The sequence below is a fragment of the Homo sapiens genome, chromosome 2 (genome assembly GCF_000001405.40).
Source record: "Homo sapiens chromosome 2, GRCh38.p14 Primary Assembly".
NCBI lineage: Eukaryota > Metazoa > Chordata > Mammalia > Primates > Hominidae > Homo > Homo sapiens.
The window spans coordinates 113,544,410-113,570,295 of NC_000002.12; the positions used below are offsets into that span (position 1 = coordinate 113,544,410).

Genomic DNA, 25,886 nt, shown 5'->3' on the forward strand with positions numbered 1-25,886 from the left:
GATTTGGCATCCTGAGTTAGACTCAGGAATACTGAACTTGGATCCCAAAGGCTTTGGTCTTTTTTGATATCCTATTGGATAATCATAAGCAGGCTAGAAAAATAGGAAACTAGAATTTATTCTCTTTGAACTGACAAATCTGACCAGTGGGCTGCATTCTCTATATCTGAAAAATCTTGGTTTTGATTGAAAAAGTTAATTTTACAAAGCAATTTTCTTTTTTTAAATTAAATTTCATTTTTTTTTTTGAGACAGGGTCTCACTTTGTGCCCAGGCTGGAGTGCAATGGCACAGTCTTGGCTCACTGTAGCCTTGACCTCCCCAGATTCAGGTGATCTTCCCACCTCAGCCTCCTGAGTAGCTGGGGCTATAGGTGCACGCCACTACGCACAGCTGATTTTTGTGTTTTTACTACTCATAGGGTTTCTCTGTGTTGCCCAGTCTAGTCTCAAACTCCTGATCTCAAGAGATCTGCCTGCCTTGGCCTCCTAAAGTGTCATGAACCACCATGCCCAGCCTACAAAGCAATGTTCTAGGAAAAACTACAGTTACTCTTTGATTATGTAATTGCTGGAGAAGAAAAGCATGGCATTTCTAAAATGATGAACTATATTACTTATATTTTAATATCTCATAAAGTTTGAAATAGACATTTCAAACATAAACATGTATAAAAATTTTTATAAATTAAAAATATAAAATCAAAAACATTATAAAATTATTTTATTATAAAATTATTATAGAATCAAAAACATTATAAATTTAAACAACTTTTTTAAAAATTTATTTTGGGATTTCCCATGGAGTGATGGAGAATAATGAGCCTTGGGAGAGCTATGGCAGCTCTCATACTCCTTCCTGGGCCAACTTTTTTAGGAAATGGGAGAAATATACCCTGTTCAATGTTTATTGTGGGTCAGAATATTTTTGAAGCTATAGTTGTTGATTTGCTTCAAACTTTAAAAAATTTATTATAAAATTATGGGATGTAAAAAAATTTGTTATAAAACTTTGAAATTTTCAAACTTTCAGAAAAGCAGAGAGATGAGATTAATGGCACTCATAGGCAAACATAGAACATTGATTGTAAACATTTTGCTATATTTGTGTCATGATTATTTTTTGCTTGTGTTTGAAAGTATATTAAAGAAAATGATATTTTACCCCTAAATTATTTAGTGCAGATTTCTAAAAAATAAGAACATTTTCCTGTATGGTTACAAAATCATCTTTTCAAACAGAATAAAAAATAGTTTTTTTATATCATTTATTACCCAGTCCACATTCAGATTTCCTCAATTATTATGAAATGTCCTTTTATTTTTTGAGACAAAGTCTTGCTCTTTCACACAGCCTGAAGTGCAGTGAAACAATCATAGCTCATTGCAGCCTCAAACTCCTGGGCTCAAGTGATCTTCCTGCCTCAGCTTCCTGAGTAGCTAGGACTATAGGTGCACACCACCATGCCCAGCTAATTTATTGTTTTTGTAGAGATGGAGGTCTTACTACATTGCCCAGGCTGGTCTCAAACTCCTGGCCTCAAGTGATCCTTCCAGCTTGGTCTCCCTGAAATATCTTTTGTGGCTGGTTTGCTCAAATTAGTTTCTTCTAATCAAGGGACACACATTGCATTTGATTATTTAGCTCAAGACTTTTTTAACCTGGAAAATACCCTCACTCTTTGTTTATGTATTTATTTAATGAAATTGACTTGTTGAAAAACTAGTCAGTGGTCCTGTAGAATATTTCCCCTTCTGGAATTTTCTGGTTGCTTTTTATGGTGTCATTTAACTTTTCACTCTGTTTTTTCCTGGTTAACTGGAAGTTAGTTCTAAAGGCTTTTAGGCCTGGTATAACAAAATACCAAAAACTGGATGACTTATAAAGAACAGAAATTTATTTCTCACAGTTCTAGAGACTAGCAAGTTTAAGATCAAGGAGCATGCGGTTTTCATATCTGGTTAGGACCAACTTTCTGGTTCATAGATTGGCCTTCTTGCTGGGCCCTCACATAGTGGGAGAGACTAGCTAGCTCTCTGGGGCCTCTTTTATAAGGGCACTAATTCCAATCATGAGTGCTCTGTCCTTATGATCTAATGAACCCCTAAAGGCCCCACCTTTTAATACCAGCACCTTTGGGGTTAGGATGTCAACATATTAATTTTGGGAAGACATACACGTTCAGCCCATTGCAAGGTTTAGTTAGATTCAGGTTCAACTTCTTTTTTTAAAGACTATTTCATAGGCAATAATGTGTATTCACATCCCATCATCAGTGATGGTGAGAGGATCGCAAGGTTAGGGCGATCACTGCCTATCTCCTCTGTTATATTCCCCCTTGGGTCAAGCCAGTAGTCTGTGACGTGAACTTTGTACCATGTGTATATTCAGTTATGTTCTGTATCAATATTTACTTGATTGTTTTAGCATTTATTAATGATCCTTGCTTGAGTTGATTATTTCATTAGGGGTTTCAAAATGGTGAATTTCTAATTCTCTAATTCTATCTACATGTTTTAGCTGGCATTTTTCTATAAGCAGACCATTTTCTTCACAACTGGGTTATTTGGCTACCCTGAAACATAGTTCCTTCCGGGAAGGCAGAACATATGTTTATTTCTGTCTTTTAAAAATTACTGGTGTTTGGAGTGAAGATTAGGTGAGTTAACTACCTCCACAGGTGACAAATGAATTTTGTTTTGTCTCACTTTTGCTTTTTTGAATATCACTGTGGCTGCTTGGATTTTTATATTTAATTTGAATGGATTAGGGAATAAATGAGAAGATAGGTTTTATCTGTTTCTGTAGTTTTTATGTGGCTATGTGAACTTACCTTTAAAAATTCCCAGAAATATTTTAATTCCCCTTTAAAGATATAAACTATGTCATACTATAAAGCAAAAGAAAAACCAATCATGTGAAGAGTAAATAGTATCGTTTAAATGAATTGTGGTTAAGCTTAGTTTGTAACTAATTAGTTTTTTATTTTCTTTCTACTTTTATCTGCTTCAGAGCCTCTTCAGTGGTTTAGATCTTCTATGTGTCAAATTATTCTAATCTCTTAAAAAGTTTAAGAGCTAAAATACAACACAATGACTACAAGAATGCCTTTGTCCTTTTCTGGGTGGGTACACCTAAGGCAACTTCTTTGTCTCTTCTTTGTTCTCTTCTTTCTTATTCTTAAATCATCTTCAATATTGGACAGATGACAGCACTATGCCTGCCTCAAGATGTTTCTGACTTTTTCTTTTTCTTTTTTCTTTTTTTTTGAGATGGAGTCTTGCTCTGTCACCCAGGCTAGAGTGCAGTGGCACAATCTTGGCTCACTACAACTTCTGCCTCCTGGGTTCCAGTGATTCTCCCAACTCAGCCTCCTGAGTAGCTGGGGTTACAGGCATGCACCACCACGCCTAGCTAATTTTTTGTATTTTTACTAGAGACGGGGTTTCACCATGTCGGCCAGGCTGGTCTTGAACTCCTGACCTCAAGGGATCTGCCTGCCTTGGCCTCCCAAAGTGCTGGGATTACACGTGTGAGCCACTGCGCCCGGCCGTTTCTGACTTTTTCTAAAGTCTTCTTTCTCTGGAGATGACATTATATAATAGCACTGTTCAATAGAAGTTTCTTTGATGATGGAACTGTTCTATAATCTGCATTGTCCCAGCTACTAGCCATATGTGACTACTGTAACACTTGAAATGTGGCTAGAGCAACTGAAGAACTGAATTTTGCATTTTACTTAATTTTAATTAATTAAAATAGAAATGCAAATAACCATAAGTGGTTAGTAGCTACCATACTGGACAGCAAAGATCTATAATTCAGCATTTAAAATCGATTTTGTTTTGTTTTCAAAAATGGAGTCAGACTGTTACAACCCAAAAGAACTGTAGGTTAAATTAAGGTAAATCACCAAATACTACATACACATTTGGGAAATCCAAACCAGATTTTTTCATGTGATAACCACACCCTCTTTTGACTTTAGCCTTGGAGGTAATGGAGTATGGCAGAAAAAACCCTGTATCAGCAGCTGGAAGACTCACCTTCTTTTCCTAGCTCTGGCATATATTGACCAAAAGAGTCGAAGTCCATTCAGATGGTTGAGGGGCCTTGGAATTTTGTTTTTGGTTTTCACATACAAGTTGGAGGGCAGATGCGTTAGCCTCTTGAAATACCCAGAAACCACTTGTTTCCTCATCTAAAAATCAGGTATGACAGGATCATTTAATTATCCTGGAAATCAGATGAAGCACTGCATATGAAAGCACTTTGTAACATCGATAGCACTGGGAAATGTAAAGACCTTTTACTGAAATATAAAGGTGTATGGTCAACTGAATATATCTCAGATAATTATGATTTGACTGTATATATTGAATATAACCTGTAGTGGGCCCCTTGGTAAACAGCTTACAGTTTTGTTGCAAGTTTTAGCCAAGAGAAAATTTATTTGTTGACTAGTCATGCACTTTATTGGCCACATGATGAGCAGCAATGATATTAACACACAGTGCACCTTGCAGAATTCAAGAATGTCTCAGTGTCTTGTGAACTAGGAAGCTGAAATGCAGTGGTATGCAGAAGGCTGGCTCAGTAGGAGCCTTGGGAGTGTCCTCCAGATAGATGTTTGTGCAGGTTGTATTTGATTCCAGTTGGCCATGAAAAGCTGGTTGCTCTAAAGAATGAGAATATACTTGGTTTTGCATTTACTAGAACTATCTGGGGAACAAATCTTGGGGTGGAAGAAAGAAGGGAGGGAGGGAAAGCTGTGCTTCAATACCTAGGGCTTCTTTCCTGGAATGGATCTGAGAATCTGGGATTGGGTGGCTAATATCTCATCTCTAGAAGGGAGAAAGAACTGGGTGGTGATGGCTTTGTATTTTCTACTGGCGTTCACTACAGAATAGGTGAATGGAATGGGCTGCTATGATCCAGACATTAGGGAGGACAGGTTTGTGATACATTAGAAAACTTGAATGAGCCCTTCTATGATTCTCTCTTCCCTCTTTCTGCTTCCCTTTCTGAATCACCATCCCCAGGTTGTGGAATTAGCAAATCTATTATGTGAGCAATAGCAAACTTACAGGAGCCCTTGGCTCCATCTATCTCCCTGTTTGTGTCAGTTCATTCTGGATGCTTTTAGTCTGTGGTCTTCATTCACTCTTTTTATGGGGAAGTAAAAGGAGTGGGACAGATTATGAGAACAGCTGGGTCCTCCCAGTTGCTGGGGTGGTTATTTTAAGCTTTGTTTAATGTGTCCAGAGACCCAGATGGCATTTTTAACTAAGCTGCTTTATTAAATCTTGTGATAAAGCATAGTGATGTTTATTGAAAAGGCAGACACACATCAGCAACATTATGCGTGAAACTTGCTCTAAGAATTTTCTATAAAACATCTGTTCTCTTTCTCTTTGAGCCTTTTGTGAACTCTGGAAGTTTGCTAGTTTCTATACAGACTTGAGGACAAGAAGTTGGAACCCACTTTTGGAGATGTCCAAGCATAGGTATTGGAATCATTAATCCTAACCCTCTCAGTTTTAAGGCCCCGGATACCCTTCTGTTAGACAACAGTAACATGAGCAAGCACTGTAATAACATTTAAACAAGATTATTTGGAAATAATGGACAAGAAAAATTAGTATAAATTGTTTGGGGATTTTAAAATTAAAGATAAAAAGCTAGGGCTTCAATGACCTGTGCCAGCCTATAGCCTTAAGAGTCAATTTGCAAACACTCAAGATTTGGCCAATATGCCTCTACTACTTCTACTTAACACAGTCAAAGGGAAATTTTTAGATTCTTTCATCTGATTTGACTCTCTTAGTTATGAATAAGAGGATATCTAGAATATATATGTGACTTGTTAAAATGAAAATCCACCTTCTCTGAGTCTTCAAATATCTTTCATATCTTACATTTTTAGTAACATCAACTTTTGAAGTCATGTCCGTAGTTGCATGAAAAGAAAAATTTCAGGAACATTCAACCTCAAAAGTTCTTTTTCTTAGTCTGAAGTCGTAGAAGCATTTGACTTTTACTTTCTCTTTTTAAGTTTGTACTAGTAGGTATTTTATATAAATATAATATTTAATTATTGCCTTTGTATTCTTTTTCTCTAGTAAACATCCTGGTTTTTAGCTATCAATATGTAGTTTTACATTTAGGGATTTCTAACGGAAAGAGAAAGGAATCTGAAATCAGAGGACAAGAGTTTATTCTACTTGACCAAACACATACAAAATACTGGAAGGAGAGTTTTACAACAAATATTTAATGTCTATGACATGTAAAAAGGTTTTCCAAATCAAGAAAATTCAAACAATTCAATACAAATATCATCAATAATAACACATGAACAGGTGGCCAACCTTATTAATAACCAGAGAAATACAAATTAAAACAATCCATCAACTTGTAAAAAAGATGAAATTACCCAGAGTTGGTGTAGGTGATGGAAAATTGTCATGTTTGTATACTGTTCATAGAAGTTAAATTGACATAACTTTTTGGTCAGGCAATTTGGAAGTATATATCTAAATTAATAGAGTAGTTTTCTAATAACCTGGGAATCTCTTAATCTAAGAATCTTTACTGTAGATTTTTCTAGAACAAATGTACAAACATCTATGTACAAGGGTACTCACTGCAGCATTTTGCTAAGGAAAAACTCAGAAAAAATCTATATGTTCAACAGAGAACAGGTACATAATTTATGACACAACCGCACAATATACACCACTAAATAAAGGATATAAATTTATATGTAGTATGAAAAAGATGTGAATGATAGCTTATTGGTGAAAAACAGCAATGACTGGAATATTGTGTGTAACGTAATCCTGCTTTTCTGTATATAATGTAGGCATAGAAAATAGGATTGAAAGGACATACTGTAGTCAACAGTGGATATAGCTTTGGTGGAGGGGGTGTATAATGGGGAAGGAGAGTCCCTTTTCCTATCTATTCCATATACATCTCTGGATTTAAAAGATCATACATGCATATGCATTACCTTCAAAATTAAAATGATAAAGACAAAAGGAGAAGGTTTGGATTTGAATCATGATACTACTGTTTGCAACTTATATGACCGTGGGGAAGTCGCCTAGCCTCCTGGGGTTTATTTCCTCATTTATAAAAATAGGGAAAATAATAATATTTGTCTACACATCTTCTAGGGTTGTTGGGAGGATTGAATGTGATCATGGGTTACAGCATTATGAATTATTTATTCATATAACACAATTATTATAAAAATATTTTGCTCTGATTAAAATAAAAGAAGGACGAGATCGTGTGTGTTTTTGTCCCAGTAGCTTTACTAACCAGAAAGCGCCTCCTGATGTGGTGATCACAGTTGCTTTGGTGCAGCTTCCTCTTGACTTTTGGCATTTCTCCATGCTGCTAGCTAAGGCTGAGGTGGCGACTGTTGAAGGTGTGAGCTCCTCCCCCTCCCGGCACACATTTGTGTGAGTACTCACACTCATGCACACACAAACACACACATGCACACTCTATCACAGTACATGAGGTGGCAGCAGCTGCTCCGGCATAGACTTTCACACAACATAAAGGGCTTTTTTGGTGTGGTCTGTGCATTATTTCCTGTTAAGCATGAGCTGAGTCAGTGCCCTGCTTTTCCATCTGAAACCTTTCTGAGGCTCAGGCTGTGTTAAGAGCAAACCCTCTCCCCTCCATGCCCACCCCATGGCCCTTTACTGAAGCCAGATCTTAATCTGCTCATTGCATGAGGATTTTCAAACCGAATGGACTGGGCCATGTGAGAGATCACTGAAAGGAACAGACCAAGCAGAGGCTAAGAGACTCCACGCTAATCTGCTGAGTCGTCTGAAAATGCACAGCTGTGGGAGCTCACGGTGCTTTAAAGTACTTCGGCAGGATGTTTGTTCAGGGGGCCTGTTCCTGCAGCCCTGCTGAATGTTTGGTTAGGAGGCATAATCTTTTTTTGGACAGGATCTCCCAAATGTAAAGTGATAGATGCTAATGTGGAATATAATACGGAAGATCCAGCTTGGATGTCATAAATAACAATAAATTGTTTAATCTTGCTGAGCTGTAAATCTATGATTGCCAGAGGTCTTTAGTTCACTGGAACATAGTATGGGGGCAGGGGCACTTAGCAAATAGGCAGTTATTATTTTCCAACCAGACAGAAACTGGTCTGATGGAATTTATCTAAAAAGGCATACACATGTATTTTAATTAATTGTGACAATTACTCAGAGAAAACACATGGCCCTAAAGAGGCTGAGGGGTTTTTTTGTTCTACCTATAAATGTATATGTATATTCACCTATATTCTACCTATGTATAAGTAAGAGAATGAGTTTTTGTTTTGGGGATATATATTTATACGTATCTATACAGATACGTATAATTTCTGTCTTAATTTCTGTCTACCTATTAAGGTGCGGTGCCAGATGGAAAGTATTTTTAAGCATTTAGATAGCTTATTCTATAGCATATGTGTGCATATAGCCCCCCCATAAAGCTTTGTCTCTTTTCTGGATATATTTAACAAGAGGCTAGAACAGAGTCCAAAATGTCAGAAATGTTTGAACATTCCATAGAAATGAAGGAGGTGTTTCCAAATGACCTATGTTTCTATGGCAATAAATAGAACTTGTGCTGCGTTGGATGGGTCAGGAGTAAGGAATATAAACAGTGTAAGTATGACTATTCCAGGCAGAAATCTACCTTGTAAGAACAGCTTTGTGCAGTGAGCTCAACAACATTGATCAGTTAGCAGTCCGGTTCAGTACAACATTGATCAGGTAGCAAGCCGGTTCGGCAGTGCCAGTCGGAGACACAGATGGGGACAATCAAAGAAGATGCAGGTCAGGACAAGGATGCAGACATGTACCTGTCACTACCATGGACTTCAGCAGCTTCTTAGCAGGTTTATGATTAAAGAAGAAAGACATCGTTGATATGTAAGCATGTTACAATTAATTTGCTGTTTAGTTATTAGCAAACTACATCCAGTTTTTAGTTTTTAGGGTTTTTTTTCTTTTTTTCTTTTTTGAAACAGGTTCTTGTTCTGTCATCCAGGCTGGAGTGCAGTCGTTATCCAAGCTCACTGCAGCCTTAAACTCCTGGGCTCAGTGGATCCTCCCACCTCAGCCTCCCAAGAAGCTGGGACTACAGGTGCACGCCACCATGGCCAGCTAATTTTTCCTATTTTTTTGTAGAGATGAGGTCTTGCTGTATTGCCCAGGCTGCTCTTGAGCTTCTGGCTTCAAGCCATCCTCCTGTCTTGGTTTCCCAAAATGCTGGGACTATAGGTGTGACTCACCATGCCTGGCCTACATCCAGTTTAATTTATACTACAGTGTGGGTTTAGTCCTCAAACATGTTTTTGTTTTACATATAAAAATTTGAGATAAAAGAACATTTTTACATTGGTCAATAATGGTACATTTAAACAATGGACGACTATATCCATTAAAATCGTGTTGTGGAAGAATATTCAGTGACATGGAAAGATTGACTCAAGGGTGAGGGAAACGTGTCAAGAGTCTGTTAGGTACTAGACACTGTAAACTGGGTCTTGGCTGTGTTACTTGCTTACATCCTCCATCATGTGATCTTTTAGATAACAAAATCGAGATACATAGGGATAATGGGTGGGCCGATTGAAGAACAGAACTTGGGCCACACTTCCAGATGCCTGTGACTTTTCTGCATCTATTCAGATGTTAGGAATTGATTATGAAATCCATGGTGGTTTGATGCTCATGAACTCTCGTCTGTCTCTCCAGCATGTGTGTAAAGAATCCGTCTCTCCGGCATGTGTGTAAAGAATCCGTCTCTCCGGCATGTGTGTAAAGAATCCGTCTCTCCGGCATGTGTGTAAAGAATCCGTCTCTCCGGCATGTGTGTAAAGAGTCCGTCTCTCCGGCATGTGTGTAAAGAGTCCGTCTCTCCGGCATGTGTGTAAAGAGTCCGTCTCTCCGGCATGTGTGTAAAGAGTCCGTCTCTCCGGCATGTGTGTAAAGAGTCCGTCTCTCCGGCATGTGTGTAAAGAGTCCGTCTCTCCGGCATGTGTGTAAAGAGTCCGTCTCTCCGGCATGTGTGTAAAGAGTCCGTCTCTCCGGCATGTGTGTAAAGAATCCGTCTCTCCGGCATGTGTGTAAAGAATCCGTCTCTCCGGCATGTGTGTAAAGAATCCGTCTCTCCGGCATGTGTGTAAAGAATCTGTCTCTCCAGCATGTGTGTAAAGACTTCCAGAGGCACAGGACGTTGAGGATGAGCTCTCTTACTTCCATCTGGTCTCCATGTAACAAATCATATAACTGCACAATTATCCAAATGCAAATGAAGGAGTCCCTTGATGTTTGGATAACCACATTCATGCCTTGAGTTTGTTATTTTCTTGAAATTGCCCTTATCCGTCTCCTGTTTACCCATGGACAACACTACTTAAGGGCTGGCAATCTGCAACCCATGGCAGCTTGGCTTTGGGGTTCCTTCCAGTGTTTTGTTTTTGTTTTTAACCGAGAAGACAGGAAACAGGCATCTTTGTGTATATGGCTTGCCACAGCCCTTCGTAGATGGACATGGTGGAGGCTGTGTGGTCCCGGAGAACACTTCCTCTGTGAAGCATCAGGGAAGTTTCTGTTCATTGTGTCTTCACTCTCTCCAATTCACTTGGGGAGTGACAGGGATTATAACACAGTGAGCAGAGGATATTGGGGAATGTCATGCTTAATTTTCTTTTCTTTTTTTTTCTTAAATGACATTTAAAGCTAGAAGATAATCACAAAGGGTAAGTCTGATTTAAGACATTTCACACATGAAAGAAATCCTGCTTTCAATGCGTGTTATGTCACAGGAAAAACTCATTTAGAGTCAACATTCTGCACCTACTCCGAAATTTTAGCCTGAGGGTTTAAATATTACCTCGCTGCTCTCTAGGACTTTAATTTGAGCTAATTAGAAATGGAACGTACACTAAAACTAATTTAGGAAAGAAGCTGTTGATGTTCTGAAGAAAAACAGCTGTCAGAAATAAGATCATTAAAAAACCATAGTTGTATATGGTACAAAATGTAAAGGAATAGAAATGCTGGGAGAAAGCTTTTGTAGAATAACATTTTATCTTTCTTTGGACACTGGTCTAAGGCATGTGAAAGGGCATATTGATTCCCTTGGCACCTGGTATGCTCATTTATGGATGAAAAAGCCCAATGACATACTTTAGGTGAGGTTTAAGGCTTGATGGGAGGCATTGGTGCCATTAGAAGGACGGACACAAAGAGTTCTTAAGTAACGGCATCATGGGAAATGATAATTGCACACTCCTTTCTACTATGTCTTGGTTTCCCCAAGCATTTAGAAGTCACGGCTGGGTAGGAACAAATTTATCACGAGTCTGTCTGTGTGTTTGGGAATGCATATGCCTCACAGATGTGTCTGCAGGGGTCTGTGTGATAATGTTCATATATGTGATAGATGTGGACCCTGGGATCTGTATCTGTGTGGACCCTGGGATCTGTACATGTGTGTGAGTGACAGTGGACTAGGGTCCACTTTGCCCCCTTTTCTGCGTGGGAGTTGAAGGAAATGCCCCTTAATGGCAGTAGCATCCACTTGGGTATGTGCACCTTCTGGAGGACTGGGTGAGGTTGCCCTTCTTCCAGCCAAAGCCAGACCCTATGGTGTGGGACGTTCAGCGGGGAGCAACAGAATGCCATGGCTTGGTCCTCCCTGGGCTGTGGTCTGGATTTCACTCAGGAATGAAAGTCAGATATTGCCTGCTTCAATGCTGTAAACATAACTAAGGATAATTATGTAAGTAGACCATCTTTTCCTTGCAAGGTAGCGGTCTGCTGCATTGACAGAGGGTAGTATTTCTAGGACTTTTTCAGAGAGTAAAATGGTACTTTAAGGGATAATCTGCTATCTAAAGATGAATTTTAAATGTTGGAGGGGGTTGTGGGATTCGGGGAAGACAATAGAATAATTTGTGTCATGGTTAATTTAACAAAGAGTTTTTGTTTATAGAATCTGATCTTCGGTGGATTTTAACAACCCTCTTCTTCCTTGGCTTTTCAGATAAAGACGCAGAGCCTCAGAGAAGTTAAACGATTGATCCTATGTCAGGGGGTAGAGTCAAGACTCATACCTATGCCTTTTAACTTCAAGGTGAGTGCTTTTTCTTTATACAAAAGGGCTTCCAAAAGTTATATTTCTTTTTATCAATGACTAGATCTTGAAAGCCATACCTTTTCTGATGGCATTTATCCTGGGCTAATTGGTAGAGAGAGGGTGAACAGAAGAGAAGACATAGACACGCAGAGAAGAAAGTGACGTGAAAACAGAGGCAGAGATTGGAGTGAAGTGAACACAAGCTCGGAAATATGTGGAGGCAACAGAAACTGGAAGAGGCAAGGGAGGATCCTCCCCTAGAGCCTTTTGGTGAGGCAGACCCCCACTGACACCTTGATTTTGAACCTCTGGCCTCCAGAACTGTAAGGGAATAAATTTTAATTGCTTTTAGCCACCAAGTTTATGGCAATTTGTTATAGCAGCCTTGTGAAGCTCATACAAACTTTGTATTAGATTACAAACTTTGTATTCATTTCCTAGGACTCCCATAACAAATTACCACATATTTGGTGGTTTAAAATCACAGAAACTTATTCTCTCACAGTTCTGGAGGCCAGAAGTCAAAATCAAGGTATCAGCGTGGCCACACTCTGTAGATGCTCTAGGGAGAATCTGCTCCCTGCCTCTTCCAGCTTCTGGCAGCAGAATACATTCCTTGGCTTCCCGGGTGTGGCTGCATCTCTCCAATCTTTGCATCTGTCTTCATATCTCCTCTTCTTTGTGTCTATTCTAGTAAGTACAAAGTGCTGCATCTTCCGTGATGGAAGTGGCCCAAATTAACCAATCTACCACCAGGTAGCTGGCTGATCATTTGGGGAATGGTACCATAAGGAGACTCAGTGTTGGTCCCTGCTGCTGGTAGAGTAGGCACTCTGCAGTGGCCATAGCCAGGTCAGCCTTGGTGAGCGAATGTCCATGTTGTTGAGCCCGTGCATAGCCTTCATCCCTGCCATCACGGCCATGGTATTACAGCACTCTTGCATTGCTATAAAGAAATACCTGAGGCTGGGTAATTTACAAAGAAAAGAAGTTTCCTTAGCTCATGGTTCTGAAGGCTGTACAAGCCTGGTGCCGGCATCTCCTTGGCTTCTGGTGAGGCCTCAGGAGCTTCTACACATGGCGGATGACAAAGTGGGAGCAGGCATATCACACAGCAAGAGTGGGAGCAAGAGAACAAAAGAGAAGGTGCCACATACTTTTAAACAAGCAGATCTCATGTGAACTCAGAGCGAGAACACACTTATCATCGAGGACGTGGTGCTAACCCATTCATGAGGGACTCGCCCCCATGACCCAAACACCTCTCACTGGGCCCCACCGCTAACACTGAGGGTTACATTTCAATAGGAGATTTGGAGGAGACAAACATCTAAACCGTAACAGCCACTTGGCTCATGAGCCCATTGGACAATGACAGGAATGGCTGGGGGAAAGCCACTCATTGACATCCACAGAACTGGTCATCCTGTTATTAAAATCCTCCTCTGCCTAGGTCACCATTTGGTGAGTGTCCATAAGGGACACAAATATCTTCACAATTTTCCATGTCTTACCTCAGAAGCCCCATCACCCTCTCTTTCACATCTCCTCCAGTACTTATCCCCCAGATGATAGGACCATGTCCAGCAATACCTCTTCTCTCTGGTGTTGATGGGTTAATGAGCAGATCTCACATAGGTAAAATTTCCAGATATCTAGAATTTAATCTTCTGTTAATTCTCCAATTATAACTAAAGTATTTCAGGTTGAAACTTTATTCAAGTGTAATTACTCACTTTAACCTTCTTAAACAGAATGTATATTACCTTTCCAAAAATAACTGAAATTTAATAAGATTAAATTTCAAAAGAAATAATCATTTACATGTTTATTTCTGCATTTTTCTAAGTCCTTGCCCCAAAGTGGACATAATTTTATACTGTGATAGCATAAAATAATTTTGCATTTGACATTTTTGATTTGGCATTAAACTATTGTTTATGTTTCTTTCGCTACTGCTTAAGAAAATGTGGGTGGTTGTAATAAATAAACCTGAAATGTAGGCAATTTTTATTGCCTTAAAAACAATAGAATGTTATTTCTCACTCACACAATAGTCCAATGAGGATGTCCCTGGTGGGCAAAGACTCTTGTCTACCAAATGGGATGGGGACTCAGTTTCCTTCCCTCTTGTGACTCTGGCATTGCCTAGAGCCACATGATTACCTGTACTGAATCTGTAGAAAGAGAAATAAGCAGTGTAGAGATGATATGTCTGTTTTCTGATATCCTCAGCCTAGAAGAAACACACATTACTTCTGTTCTTATTCTCATACTAGTTTATCACCCATTGTCCAAATGCACCATGTGGCCACACCTAGATGCAAGGGTGGGTTGGAAAATGTAGCACCTGGCTGGGCAGTTGTTCCTCAGCATTGACTCTTTGCTATGGAAGGGCTTCCTAAGTTTTTGTGGACTGCTATCCCAGTCTCTCACCACTATACAATCTTCATAATTTTCCCTTTAAATGGCTGAGAGAAAATTTTGAACAAAAGCTACAAACATTTTTCAGATTCTTGATTCTCCAGACTTATTACTTGAGGGCAGTGACTAAATTATATTCAGTTCTATATCAGAAGGTTCTTCCATATTGCCGGTTTCATGGTAGATACTCAATAAAATGAGTTGAATGACTACATAAATTTTAGCAAGAGCATATGAAAAATAATTTATCATGACTTTGGGTAATACTATAGGTGTAATTATTGTCCTTTCTCTTTCCTGACTTGATTAATAGCACCACTATCCATTAAGTTATTAAAGGTAGAAAGCTGAGATTATTCTTGACTCCTTTTCTCACTGGTCCCGTATTAGTTATTTATTGCAGTGTAAGAAATTACCATGAAACTTAGTGGCTTAGTTGGGGCTTGATGGGGGCTGGAGGATCCACTGCAAGATGGCTCAGTCACTTGGCTGGCAAGGTGGTGCTGGCTGTTAGCCTCCCATCTGACCCTCCTCTTTCCGCTCCTGCCACTCTTCAAGGTATTTTTTCCAGAGCAGCCATTCATCATTCATTTATTTTTTCCCATTAATTAATTCAACAGATATTTATTGTATACTTACCGTATGCCAGATTTGTTTTAGGTTCTTGGAATATAGCAGTGAAAAAAAAAACAGTCCTTGGATCTTATATACAGTGGGGAAATAAACATATAATGTAGAAAATTAGATGGTAATATGTGTGAGCACATATATTTATTATTTCTCATCATTTCTGAGACAGGAGATGGGTATTCTGGCTTGGGGACTCACATGAGGTCACAGTTACATGTTGGTGTTGGTTTGGTCATATGAAGGCTTGGTGGGGGCTGGAGGATCCACTGTGAGATGGCTCAATCCCTTGGCTGGAAAGTTGGTGCTGGCTGTTGTTGGCAGGCCTTGCTTCCTCTTCACAGGGCTTCTTGAGTGTCTTCATGACATGGCGGCTGGCCTCTCCCAAAATAAGCTGTCCAAGAGAGCAGGGCAGAAGTGTCCATGCCATTTATGGCCTCACCATGGAAGTCACACACAATCACTTCTGCAATATATACTGATTACCCAGATCTGCATCGTTCAGTGTGGGAGGGGACCACAAAAAGGCACAAATGCCAAAAGACAAGGACCATTGGGGCCATTTTGGAGGCTATTTACCACAGCCCCTCTCTTCCATATTCCAGCCCACCTGCATATTCTGTTCATCCTCCTTCCAAAAATGTATCTCAAACCAAATGACTAATTTTCATTTCTGTTGGCTCTAGCCTAGTCCAAGACTCTATCAACACTTGACTTGAAGAGTCTCCCGTCTGATATTCCTCTTTCTGCTCTTGCCCCCCTTCAAGGTATTTCTCCCAGAGAAGCCATTCATCATGCATTCATTATTCTCCATTCATTAATTCAACAAATATTTATTGTACGCTTACCACATGCCAGATTTATTTTAGGTTCTTGGGATATAGCAGTGAAAAGTCCTTGGGCTTTACATACAGTGGGAAAATAAATAATATGGAAAATGTTAAAGGCAACATATGTGATCCAGAAAATTATAGCAGGGTGAAGGAAATAGGAAACAATAGAAAAGTTAGGGACTTCTGGCTATAGTATTATATAGGGCTGTCAAGGGTGCTATCTCTGATTAGCTTACATTGAAACAGAAACCCAAAAGACAGTAGAGGGCAGGTATGTTAATATCTGGGCAAGTATTCTAAGCAGAGGAAAAAGAAAATGCGAGGGCCCTGAGGCAGGATCATGTTTGGTATGTTTGAGGAATAGCTGTTCTGTTCCGTTGTGGCTGGAACAGAAGAAGGAGGGCAGGAGGGTGATGGAGAATGGTACATGATGGAGGTCAGATTATGTAGGGCCTTGTAGACTACAATGAAGACTTTGGCTTTGTTTTGGGTTGGTGGGGGACAAGGAAAGCTATTGGAATGTTTTAGTGACTTGATGTGACTTAATTTTTAATAGGAACATTTGGGCTGCTCAGCCCATGATGTTTAAAAATGCCATCAGGTCACTTCCACTGTTTAAAACCTTTCAATGGATTCTGGTTGTACTTAGAATAAAATCTAAGCTCCCTTAGCTATTATTATTATATTATTATTAAAATTGACATCCTTTATTCTCTATTACAGCAGTCTAATTCCTTCCTAATATGTACCTCACTAGTAACTATTATTATTATTGCTTATTTGTTTATAATCTGTCTCCTCTACTTGAAAATATGTAGCCTGTGGATCTTGTGGATTTCCATACTAAATCATCCCAAGGCCACTTTGCTTTTGAGCTCTGTGTGTGTGTGTGTGTGTGTGTGTGTGTGTGTGTGTGTGTGTGTGTGTTTTGATCTCTTCTGTAATTTTTTTTCCCCTGATCTCGCTGATTGTTATATTTGGTCAGTGACTGACCTCTAGCAATGATGGTGCCAGGGCAACTTTGTTGTTGAACTGTATGTTAAGGTTTGTTTTGGCTTGTTGGTTATATCAGTACTTATCAAATGAATTATCTGGGAAGAGAGGAGAGGATCTTATTAAAATACAGGTTCTTATTCAGTAGGCCTTGGGTGGGCCTTGAGGTTCTGCATTTCTTTCTTTCTCTTTCTTTCTTTTTCTTTCTATTTCTTTCTTTCTCTTTCTTTTTTCTTTCTCTTTCTTTCTTTTTCTTTTTTCTTTCTTTCTTTCTTTCTCTCTCTTTCTTTCTTTCCTTCCTTTCTTTCCTTCCTTTCTTTCTTTCTTTCTTTCCTTCCTTCCTTTCTTTCCTTCCTTCCTTCCTTCCCTTCCTTCCTTCCTTCCTTCCTTCCTTCCTTCCTTCCTTCCTTCCTTCAGACAGAGTCTCACTCTGTAGCCCAGGCTGGAGTGCCGTGGTGCCATCTTAGCTCACTGCAATCTCTGCCTCCCAGGTTCAAGCAATTCTCCCACCTCAGCCTCCGGAGTAGCTGGGACTACAGGCGTGCACCACCATGCTCAGCTAATTTTTGTATTTTTAGTAGAAATAGGTTTTCACCACATTGGCCAGGCTGGTCTCGAACTCTGGAGCTCAAGTGATCTGCTCACCTCAGCCTCCCAAAGTGCTGGGATTTCAGGTGGAGCCACCATGCCCAGCTGAAGTTCTGCATTTCTATCAAGCTTGCAGGTGATGCCCATGCTGCCAGCCCTTTGAGTAACAGGGGGGCTTTATTACCGAGCTTGGCTGAACATTGGAATCATCTGTGGAGCTTTAAAACTACTAATGCTGGGCTCTCAACCCCAGAGATTGCAATATCATCAGTCTAGAATGCAGTTTGAGTACTAGGATTTTGAAAAGCTTCATAAGTGATTCTATTTTGTAGAAATATTGAGAACTACTAGATTGGATGATATTGAATCCAATTTTAAAACAAGGTGTAGCAATAAATGTTCTTCAGCGCTGTGTTGCTGACTTTTTAGAAAGTCAGTTTTGTAGCTCTAGAAAGAATCTGGCTGCATCCATGGATGACCTCCAGATCTCTGCTTAGCATGACTGGGTAATTTCTCCAATGTCTCCAGCACATGCTGTCACTTAACAGCAGAAAGAGAATTCCTACTTTCAGGAGAAAAGTCATTCCTGAAGATTACAGTTAAAATATGCCTACAGATGATGAGGTTGTAGTAAATCAGTCCCCTTGCTCTCTGAGCTTGTTCTAAGTTACAGGAAGCAGAAGAAGCAGAGAAGCACTCCATTTCTTTTTTCTTGTAATCTCTAGCATGTTCACATGCATAGTTTCTGAGTCAGTAGCAAACTAAGAACTTCTTGTGTGATTCAAGCTAACCCCTCGATTATCAGAAGCAGATGTTTCAAACGACTGAAGATCAGTGAGGCATATCTTATTTACAGGTTAATAATTGGCTACTAGATGCAGGTGCACCAAATGGTCTTAGAGACATTAGATAGGAGAGACAATGTCAGTGCTCCCCCTACCCTGCCTCCCCTAATCTAAAGCCTACTCTGTTTCTTTTATCAAGTGATTGGCTGTATGTTAACAGAGCCTGGGGCACTTTCCTGTTGAAATGCCTTTAATCCCAAGCAACTGGATTGATTTTTTTTTTTTTTTTTTGGATGGTTTAGATTGGACGACTGATTATTGGACAGAATGGCATCTTGTCGACACCTGCGGTCTCCTGCATTATCAGGAAGATCAAGGCAGCTGGTGGAATCATTCTAACAGCCAGCCACTGCCCTGGAGGACCAGGGGGAGAGTTTGGAGTGAAGTTTAATGTTGCCAATGGAGGTATGTGGTTCAGTATATGCCTTAATAATCACGATTTCTTTCCTCTTATATTATTATAGTCTCACAGTGACCCTTTGATGATAGACAAGCAAGGTGCAGAGGACCTAGCTCAGAAAAATTTAGTGAGGTGCCCAAAGTGATCCAACAAAGAAGTGGCATGATGGGCTCATGAACCCATTTGGGTGGTCTCTTGGTCCCCTGTACTCTTCAGCATAAACTATTGAATAGTTGATGCTTATCTGATATGGAAGGACTCTGAATTTTAACATTAAAACATACCCTGAAGGTCGTTGTCTAAATGACAATGACCCTCATTTTACACATCAACAAATCAAAGGCCTGAGAGGCTGAGTTACTGCTGAAGGCCACAGGGTTGATCAGGGTCAGATTAATGATTTTTAGCCCAAATCCTGGGCTCTCTTTTTCCTACAGTGTTGACTTTCTCTCAAAATCATAGAATTGTTTCACTTTTTCTTATATTCACAGCAATTTATAGTTTGAGGGTCCTTAGTGGAGGGGGTGGGATATATGTATGGAGTAAATTTCTTTTAAAAATTGAACACACAAAAAAATAGGGAGAATAAGAAATAGATAACATGTACCCATTATCTTGTTTTTCTATTTTGCTTATCTTTTTTTTTCTGAAGAATTTTAAAGCAAATTATAGCACAAGAACATTTCACACCCAAATATTTTTGTATGCATCTCTTAAAAAGAAAGACACATTGCTGCATGACCGTGCTAACATACCTAACAATAATAACATTAATTCTCCAATATCACCTGAAAACTAATCTATAGTCAAATTTTTCAATAATCCCCAAAATATTATTATTTATAGCTGTTTTATTCAAATCAGGATACATCTAAGGATGCCATGCATTTGCTTGGCAAGTCTCTTAAATCTCTTTTAATCTAGAATGCTGAGTTTGCATGAATGTGGGTAGGAGCCAAATTTTAACCAGCAACAGTTACCATTATAAATTATTCCTCATCCCAGGCAAAGCAGTGCATTCTGAAGGGAAAACTTATTATCTATCCCTCCTTGTAGACGTTTTACACGTTATCCAAACAAGAAAGTGTATTCATGTTGAATATTTAAAAAACAATATTGTAACCACAAAGCAGAAAACTAAACCACCAAACCACAAAGGTAGACAACAATAGAGGAAGAAGAGAACAAATTATCTACAAAGTAACCAGAAAACAATTAGCAAAATGGCAGGAGTAAGTCTTTTACTATCAATAATAACCTTGCTGGTACATGGGTTAAACTGTCCAATCAAAAGATGTAGAATGGCTGAGTGGATCAACAACAAGATCCAACTAGATGCTGCCTACAAGAGACCCATTTTTAAACTTTAAGAATAGGCATATACTGAAAGTAAATGGATAGAAGGAGATATTCCATGAAAACAGACAGTTACCAAAAGAGAGCAGGGATGCCTATACTTATATCAGATAAAACAGACTTCCAGTAAAAAGCTGTTCCAAGAGACAAAGAAGGTCATGATTTAATGATAAAGAGGTCATCTTATCAAGAGGACATAACAATTGTAAACATATATGCATCCAAAATTGAAGCACTTAAATATGTAAAGCAAATATTAGTGGACATGAAGGAAGAAATATACAGCAATATAACACTAATAGGGGACTTCAGTACTCCACTTGCAACAATGGAGAGATCAACCAGACAAAAAATTAACAAGACAACACTAAATTTGAACTATACTTCAGACCAAATGGACCTACCAGACCTACATTCATCCAACAACAGCAGAATATACATTCTTCTCTAGCATACATAGAACATTCTCCAGGATAGACCATATGTTAGGCCACAAAATAAACCTTAACAAATTCAAAAAGATTGAAGTCACGTCTAGTATTGTTTCCAACCACAATGGTGTGAAGCTAAAAATCAATAACGGGAGGAATCTTGGAAAATTTACAAATATGTGGAAACTAAACAACATGCTTATGATGAACTAATGGGTCAAAGAAGAAATCAAGAGGGAAACTAAAAAATATTTTGAGATTAATGACAATGGAAACACAATGTATCAAAACCTACAGTATGCGGCAAAGTCAGTTCTAAGAGAGAAGTTTATAGCAATAAATGCCTAGATTAAAAAAGGAAAAAGATCTAAATAAGTAGACTAACACTATGCCCCAAGGAGCTAAAGAAAGAACAAACTAAACCCAAAGTGAGCAAAAGGAAGGAAATAATGAAGATCAGAACAGAAGCAAATAAAATGTAGTATAGAAAAACTATAGAAAATATAAATAAAATCAAAAGTTGGTTCTTTGAAAAAATAAAATCTACAAACTCCTAGCTAGATTCACTAAAAAAAGCAGACTCAAATAAATAAAATCAGAAATGAAAGTGGAGACATTGCAATAGATACCTCAGAAATAAAAATGGTCATAAGGGATTATTATGAACAATTTTATGCCAACAAATTGGAGGACCTAGAAGAAATGGATAACTTTGCTGCTACTCAGATACATTTTATTTCAAAAACATACACTAAGGTGTTGCTGTTGGATCTTTCCAAAAACATATTCACACAGAACTTTCAGTCACACTGAGCCATATTTGAACAATCTTTCAAGGTCAGCTCTGGCATAAGCTAACATTATACCATTTAACTCAGAAATTTCTGTAGTATTTGATTAATGGGTTTATGTTTGATATGTAATGTAATTTTCTAATGCTAAATCAAGTGGTAATTTTGTTGGTCAAGTTGATTTAGTGGCTTGGGAAGAAAGCTTTTAATGTTCCCCTAATTTTTCTTACCTTTGACATGATCCTTCACATGTCTTATTTTGCTTAGTGATTTTTCTTTTTTTTTTTTTTTTTGAGACAGGGTCTTACTCTACCACCCAGGCTTGAGTGCAGTGGTGCGATCACAGCTCATTGCAGCCTTGACCTCCCAGACTCAAGCTATTCTTCCACCTCAGCCTCCCAAGTAGCTGGTACTACGGGCACATGCCACCAAACTTGGCTAATTTTTGTATTTTTTGTAGAGACAGAGTTTTGCCAAATTCTCAGGCTGGTCTGGAATTTCTGGGCTCAAGTAATCCTGCCTTGGCCTCCCAACATGCTGATATTACAGACATAAGCCACAGTACCTGGCCAGTTTTCTTTTTTAAAAAATCTATTGGTTATTAATTTGAAGCCTTCCTTTTCATAACTGTGCTCCTTAATTGGGAGCAAACATGAATGGACCACAACTTAGCCAATTTTCTATATACGATCTTTGCCATCCTAATTTAAAGGAATATTAATTCTTTCTTTTCCTCTTTCATTCCACAAACCTGTATTGACTACATCTAAGTTCTAAATGGTGCACTGGATGTTGAAAAAGTTGATGATGAGCAAGAACAAAATTCCTCCTTTCAGGAGACTTACAGTTCAATATGGGAAATGTAATTTGTTAAAATATAAAAGTGCAATTGTGTTACATGCTGTACGAAGTACATGTTGACATGTGAGTATATAATAAATGGGCTGGAGGCCAGAGGATTGCCAAAGAGAATGGGCCTCCTGCTGAGATGAGATGAGACTCTCTCTCTCCACTCCAGAAAGATAGGCAATCACAGGCAGTGGTGCCCCTCTGATATTTATGTGGGATCTCCAAGGTGATGGAGGAGAGAGGCCTTTAGTTTGTATCAAAACCAGAAGAACTGTTTATCTTCTATCAGGTGACAACCCTTCATTCCTTTACTTAACACATTGATTAGCATCTGCTATGTGGCCATGTGCTAGGCAGGGCCACTTTCTGAGTCCTGCGAAGTCAGTTGCATAGTGTCCTGCACTTGAAAGTGCCCCGCATTCGGTTTAACACTCTGCTGTCACATTAATAACGATATCTTTACACTTCTGTTTCGTCAGCGAAGTCCTGTAGGACAAGGGGGCATGCACAGGAGCAGAGGAGCCACACGTGATGTGTGTGGCTGCCGTTCCCTGCCGCCCCATTCACATAATCTTCTCCATGCCCCTGGGGAGCCATGCTGTGGGATGTGCAGGAAACTCAGCATGCTGTGAGTAGAGGCAGGGTTGTTAGTCAGTGACTGAGTGAGCGGGGCACTAACCATCTGGAGAGGCCTCACTTTCCACTGAAACCAGAATGCGCTTGTACACAGAAAGAAGGCAATGACATTTGAAGAGACACAAATGACTGAGGAGCCCTGTTGTATCCTCTCTAATTGGAGTTACTTCCCTGTGCTAACCGACCCCTGTGTTGAGATGACATGAAAGGAAAGGGCAGGACACTATGGCCACAGTGCCCTGAGGGTGCCCAATCTCGTCTCAGAAGCTAAGCAGGGCCTGGCCTCATTAGTACTTGTATGGAACAAGGAAAGGGGAAGAGAGAGCAGCCTATAGCTCCTGTCCTTTCAGTCCTTCCTTAGTGTCCATGATCCCAAGGTAGAGAGTGTTGCTGGAGTGTGTGGGTGTCAGGAAGTGAGATAGAAAGAGCTGAGCTAGTTTTGTGCAGCGTATCTACTGGTTTAGCAAGAATGAAATACATACACATGGATGAGCTATGGAATGTGAATTGTGTAATTGTGTTGATTCTACATATGAGGTCAATGCTAATATTTTCATTTATACCTTGCGTCCTACAATATAAAAACAAATGGTAAAAAGTCACGATAATTTAAATTTATTTTTTATTTTATTTTATCTTATTTTTTTTAGATGGAGTCTCGCTCTGTCACCCAGGCTGGAGTGCAATGGCATAATCTTGTCTCACTGCAACCTCTGCCTCCCACGTTCAAGCCATTCTCCTGCCTCAGTCTCCCGAGTAGCTGGGATGACAGTCACCCGCCACCACGCCCAGCTAATTTTTTGTATTTTTAGGAGAGATGGGGTTTCACTATGTTGTCCAGGCTGGTCTCGAACTCCTGACCTAATGATCCGCCCACCTCAGCCTCTCAAAGTGCTGGGATTACATGCGTGAGCCATCGCACCCAGCCTTAAATTTGTATTTTAACTTAGCATGACATTAGATAGCAAATAAAAATACCATGACAAGTCAAGTGAGAGAGAACACAGAAGAAAGGAAAACGCCGTATCTTTGAGCCCCTTCAATGACGCTTCTTCCTGCTCTTTGAACAGAAGCGCTGCGTTTTCATTTTGCCCTGGGCCTCATGTTACGTAGCTGGTCCTGGTGTTAGGTACCCGGACGCACCACAAACGAAACAGATTCGTTCCCCGCAGAGCTTATTAGTCTAGTGAGAGAAACATAATTTGAATAGTCCCAGAAATACATCATTATAAGATAAGTCTATGAAAGAAGCGTAGAGCATTCCTAATCTTGTCTCTGAACAGGGCAGACTTCTTGGAGGAAGTGAAATTTGAACTGCGATGTGAAGAATGAGCAGGAGTTAGTGAGGTGAAGAAGAGAGAAGGAGTGTTGCAAACACAGGTCAGTCTGTGCAAAGGCCCTGAGACACAAGGAGCCTAGAACCACGGCTCGAAGACAACCATCTGGCTGGGGCATGGCTCGTCTTACAGATCACATTAAGGAACAAATAATTATGTTAAGAGTTATGGGCTGCCATTAAGGATTTGGATAAGAGAGTCTTACAATCACATCTGTGTTTTCTAAAGGCCTGACACTGATTGGTACATGGAGTACAGCCTGAAGGGAACAAGACTTGTTAGAAAGGAAGCTATTGACTGGGTGTGGTGGCTCGTGCCTATAATCCCAGCACTTTGGGAGGCTGAGGTGGGCAGATTACTTGAGGCCAGGAGTTCGAGATCAGCCTGGCCAACACGGTGAAACCCCGTCTCTACTAAAAATACAAAAATTAGCAGGTTGTGGTGGTGAGCACCTATAATCCCAGCTGCTTGGGAGGCTGAGGCAGGACAATTGCTTGAACCTGGGAGGCTGAGGTTGCAGTGAGCCCAGACTGCGCCACTGCACTCCAGCCTGGGTGACAGAGACTTCCTTTCCAAAATAAAAAAAAAAAAAAAGAAAGAAGAAAGAAAGAAAGGAGGCTATTGCAGTAATGCAAGTGAGAGACCATGGTGGCTTAGGCAATGGTGGAGATGGAGGAATTTGGGGGAATTGATTGGGTTCAAGAAATAGGCAGGAGGAAACACGATGGATTGGGTGGGAGTAGGGAAACAGATGAGAAGAGGTATCAGGAAAGCTGCCTAGGTTTCTGGTCTGTGCCACTGTGTGGATGATGAGAGAATGTGTCAGTGGTGGAGGCCAAGGTCTGAAAGTGGAGTGGGGAAGAGTGAGAGAGAAAATTGTAAGTTTACCTTTATGTTCAGCTGAGGTCATTTTGAAACATACAAGCAGCAGTATGAAGAATTCCATTGATATATTTGTCCGGAGCCCAGAGTGAGGTTTAAATAAGAAGAAATAAACTCGCTAGTAAAAATTGCAGACACACAAAAGGCTTGAACAGGCACTTCACAAAATAGATTATCCAAATGACCAATAAATACATAAGTACTCAACATCATTAGCCATTAGAAAAATGCAAGTTAAAACCACAATGAGATACCATTTCACACTAGAATGAATAAAATATTAAAAGACTGACAATGCTAAATATTCCCAGGATGCAGAACAACCAAAACCCTCATATATTATGGGGGACATGGAAAATTGTACAACTCCTTTGGAAAACAGGTAGTTTCTACAGAATTTCAATATATACATACCATACAACTCAGCCATTGCATTCCTATTTACCCAACAGATATAAAATCATTTGTCTACTGAAAAATTTGCAAAATAATGTTCATTGCGGCTGTAGCCATTATAACCCTCAAACGGAAACAACCCAATGTGCATGGATTGTGAATAGATGACAAATGGTGGTCCATCTATACAATGGAATATTGCTCTTCAACAGAAACAAACTACAGGTCCATGTAACAACATGATGATTGAAAGAAGTCAGATGTAAAAAAGTACATATGTATGATGCAATTTATACGAAACTCTAGGCAAAACTAATCCTTAGT

At 39.5% G+C, this 25,886-nt stretch overlaps 1 pseudogene across 2 annotated transcripts in view; it reads left to right on the forward strand.

Moving 5' to 3' along the window:
* Positions 1–24,529, forward strand: part of PGM5P4 (phosphoglucomutase 5 pseudogene 4) — a 29,425-nt pseudogene extending 4,896 nt beyond the window's left edge. For both annotated transcript variants that reach the window (NR_146438.1, NR_146439.1), the window contains exons 2-4: positions 12,082–12,171; positions 18,727–18,889; positions 24,231–24,529. The product of NR_146438.1 is annotated as a phosphoglucomutase 5 pseudogene 4, transcript variant 2 (transcript). The remainder of the gene's footprint in view (positions 1–12,081; positions 12,172–18,726; positions 18,890–24,230) is intronic.
* The last annotated feature ends 1,357 nt before the right edge of the window (positions 24,530–25,886 follow it).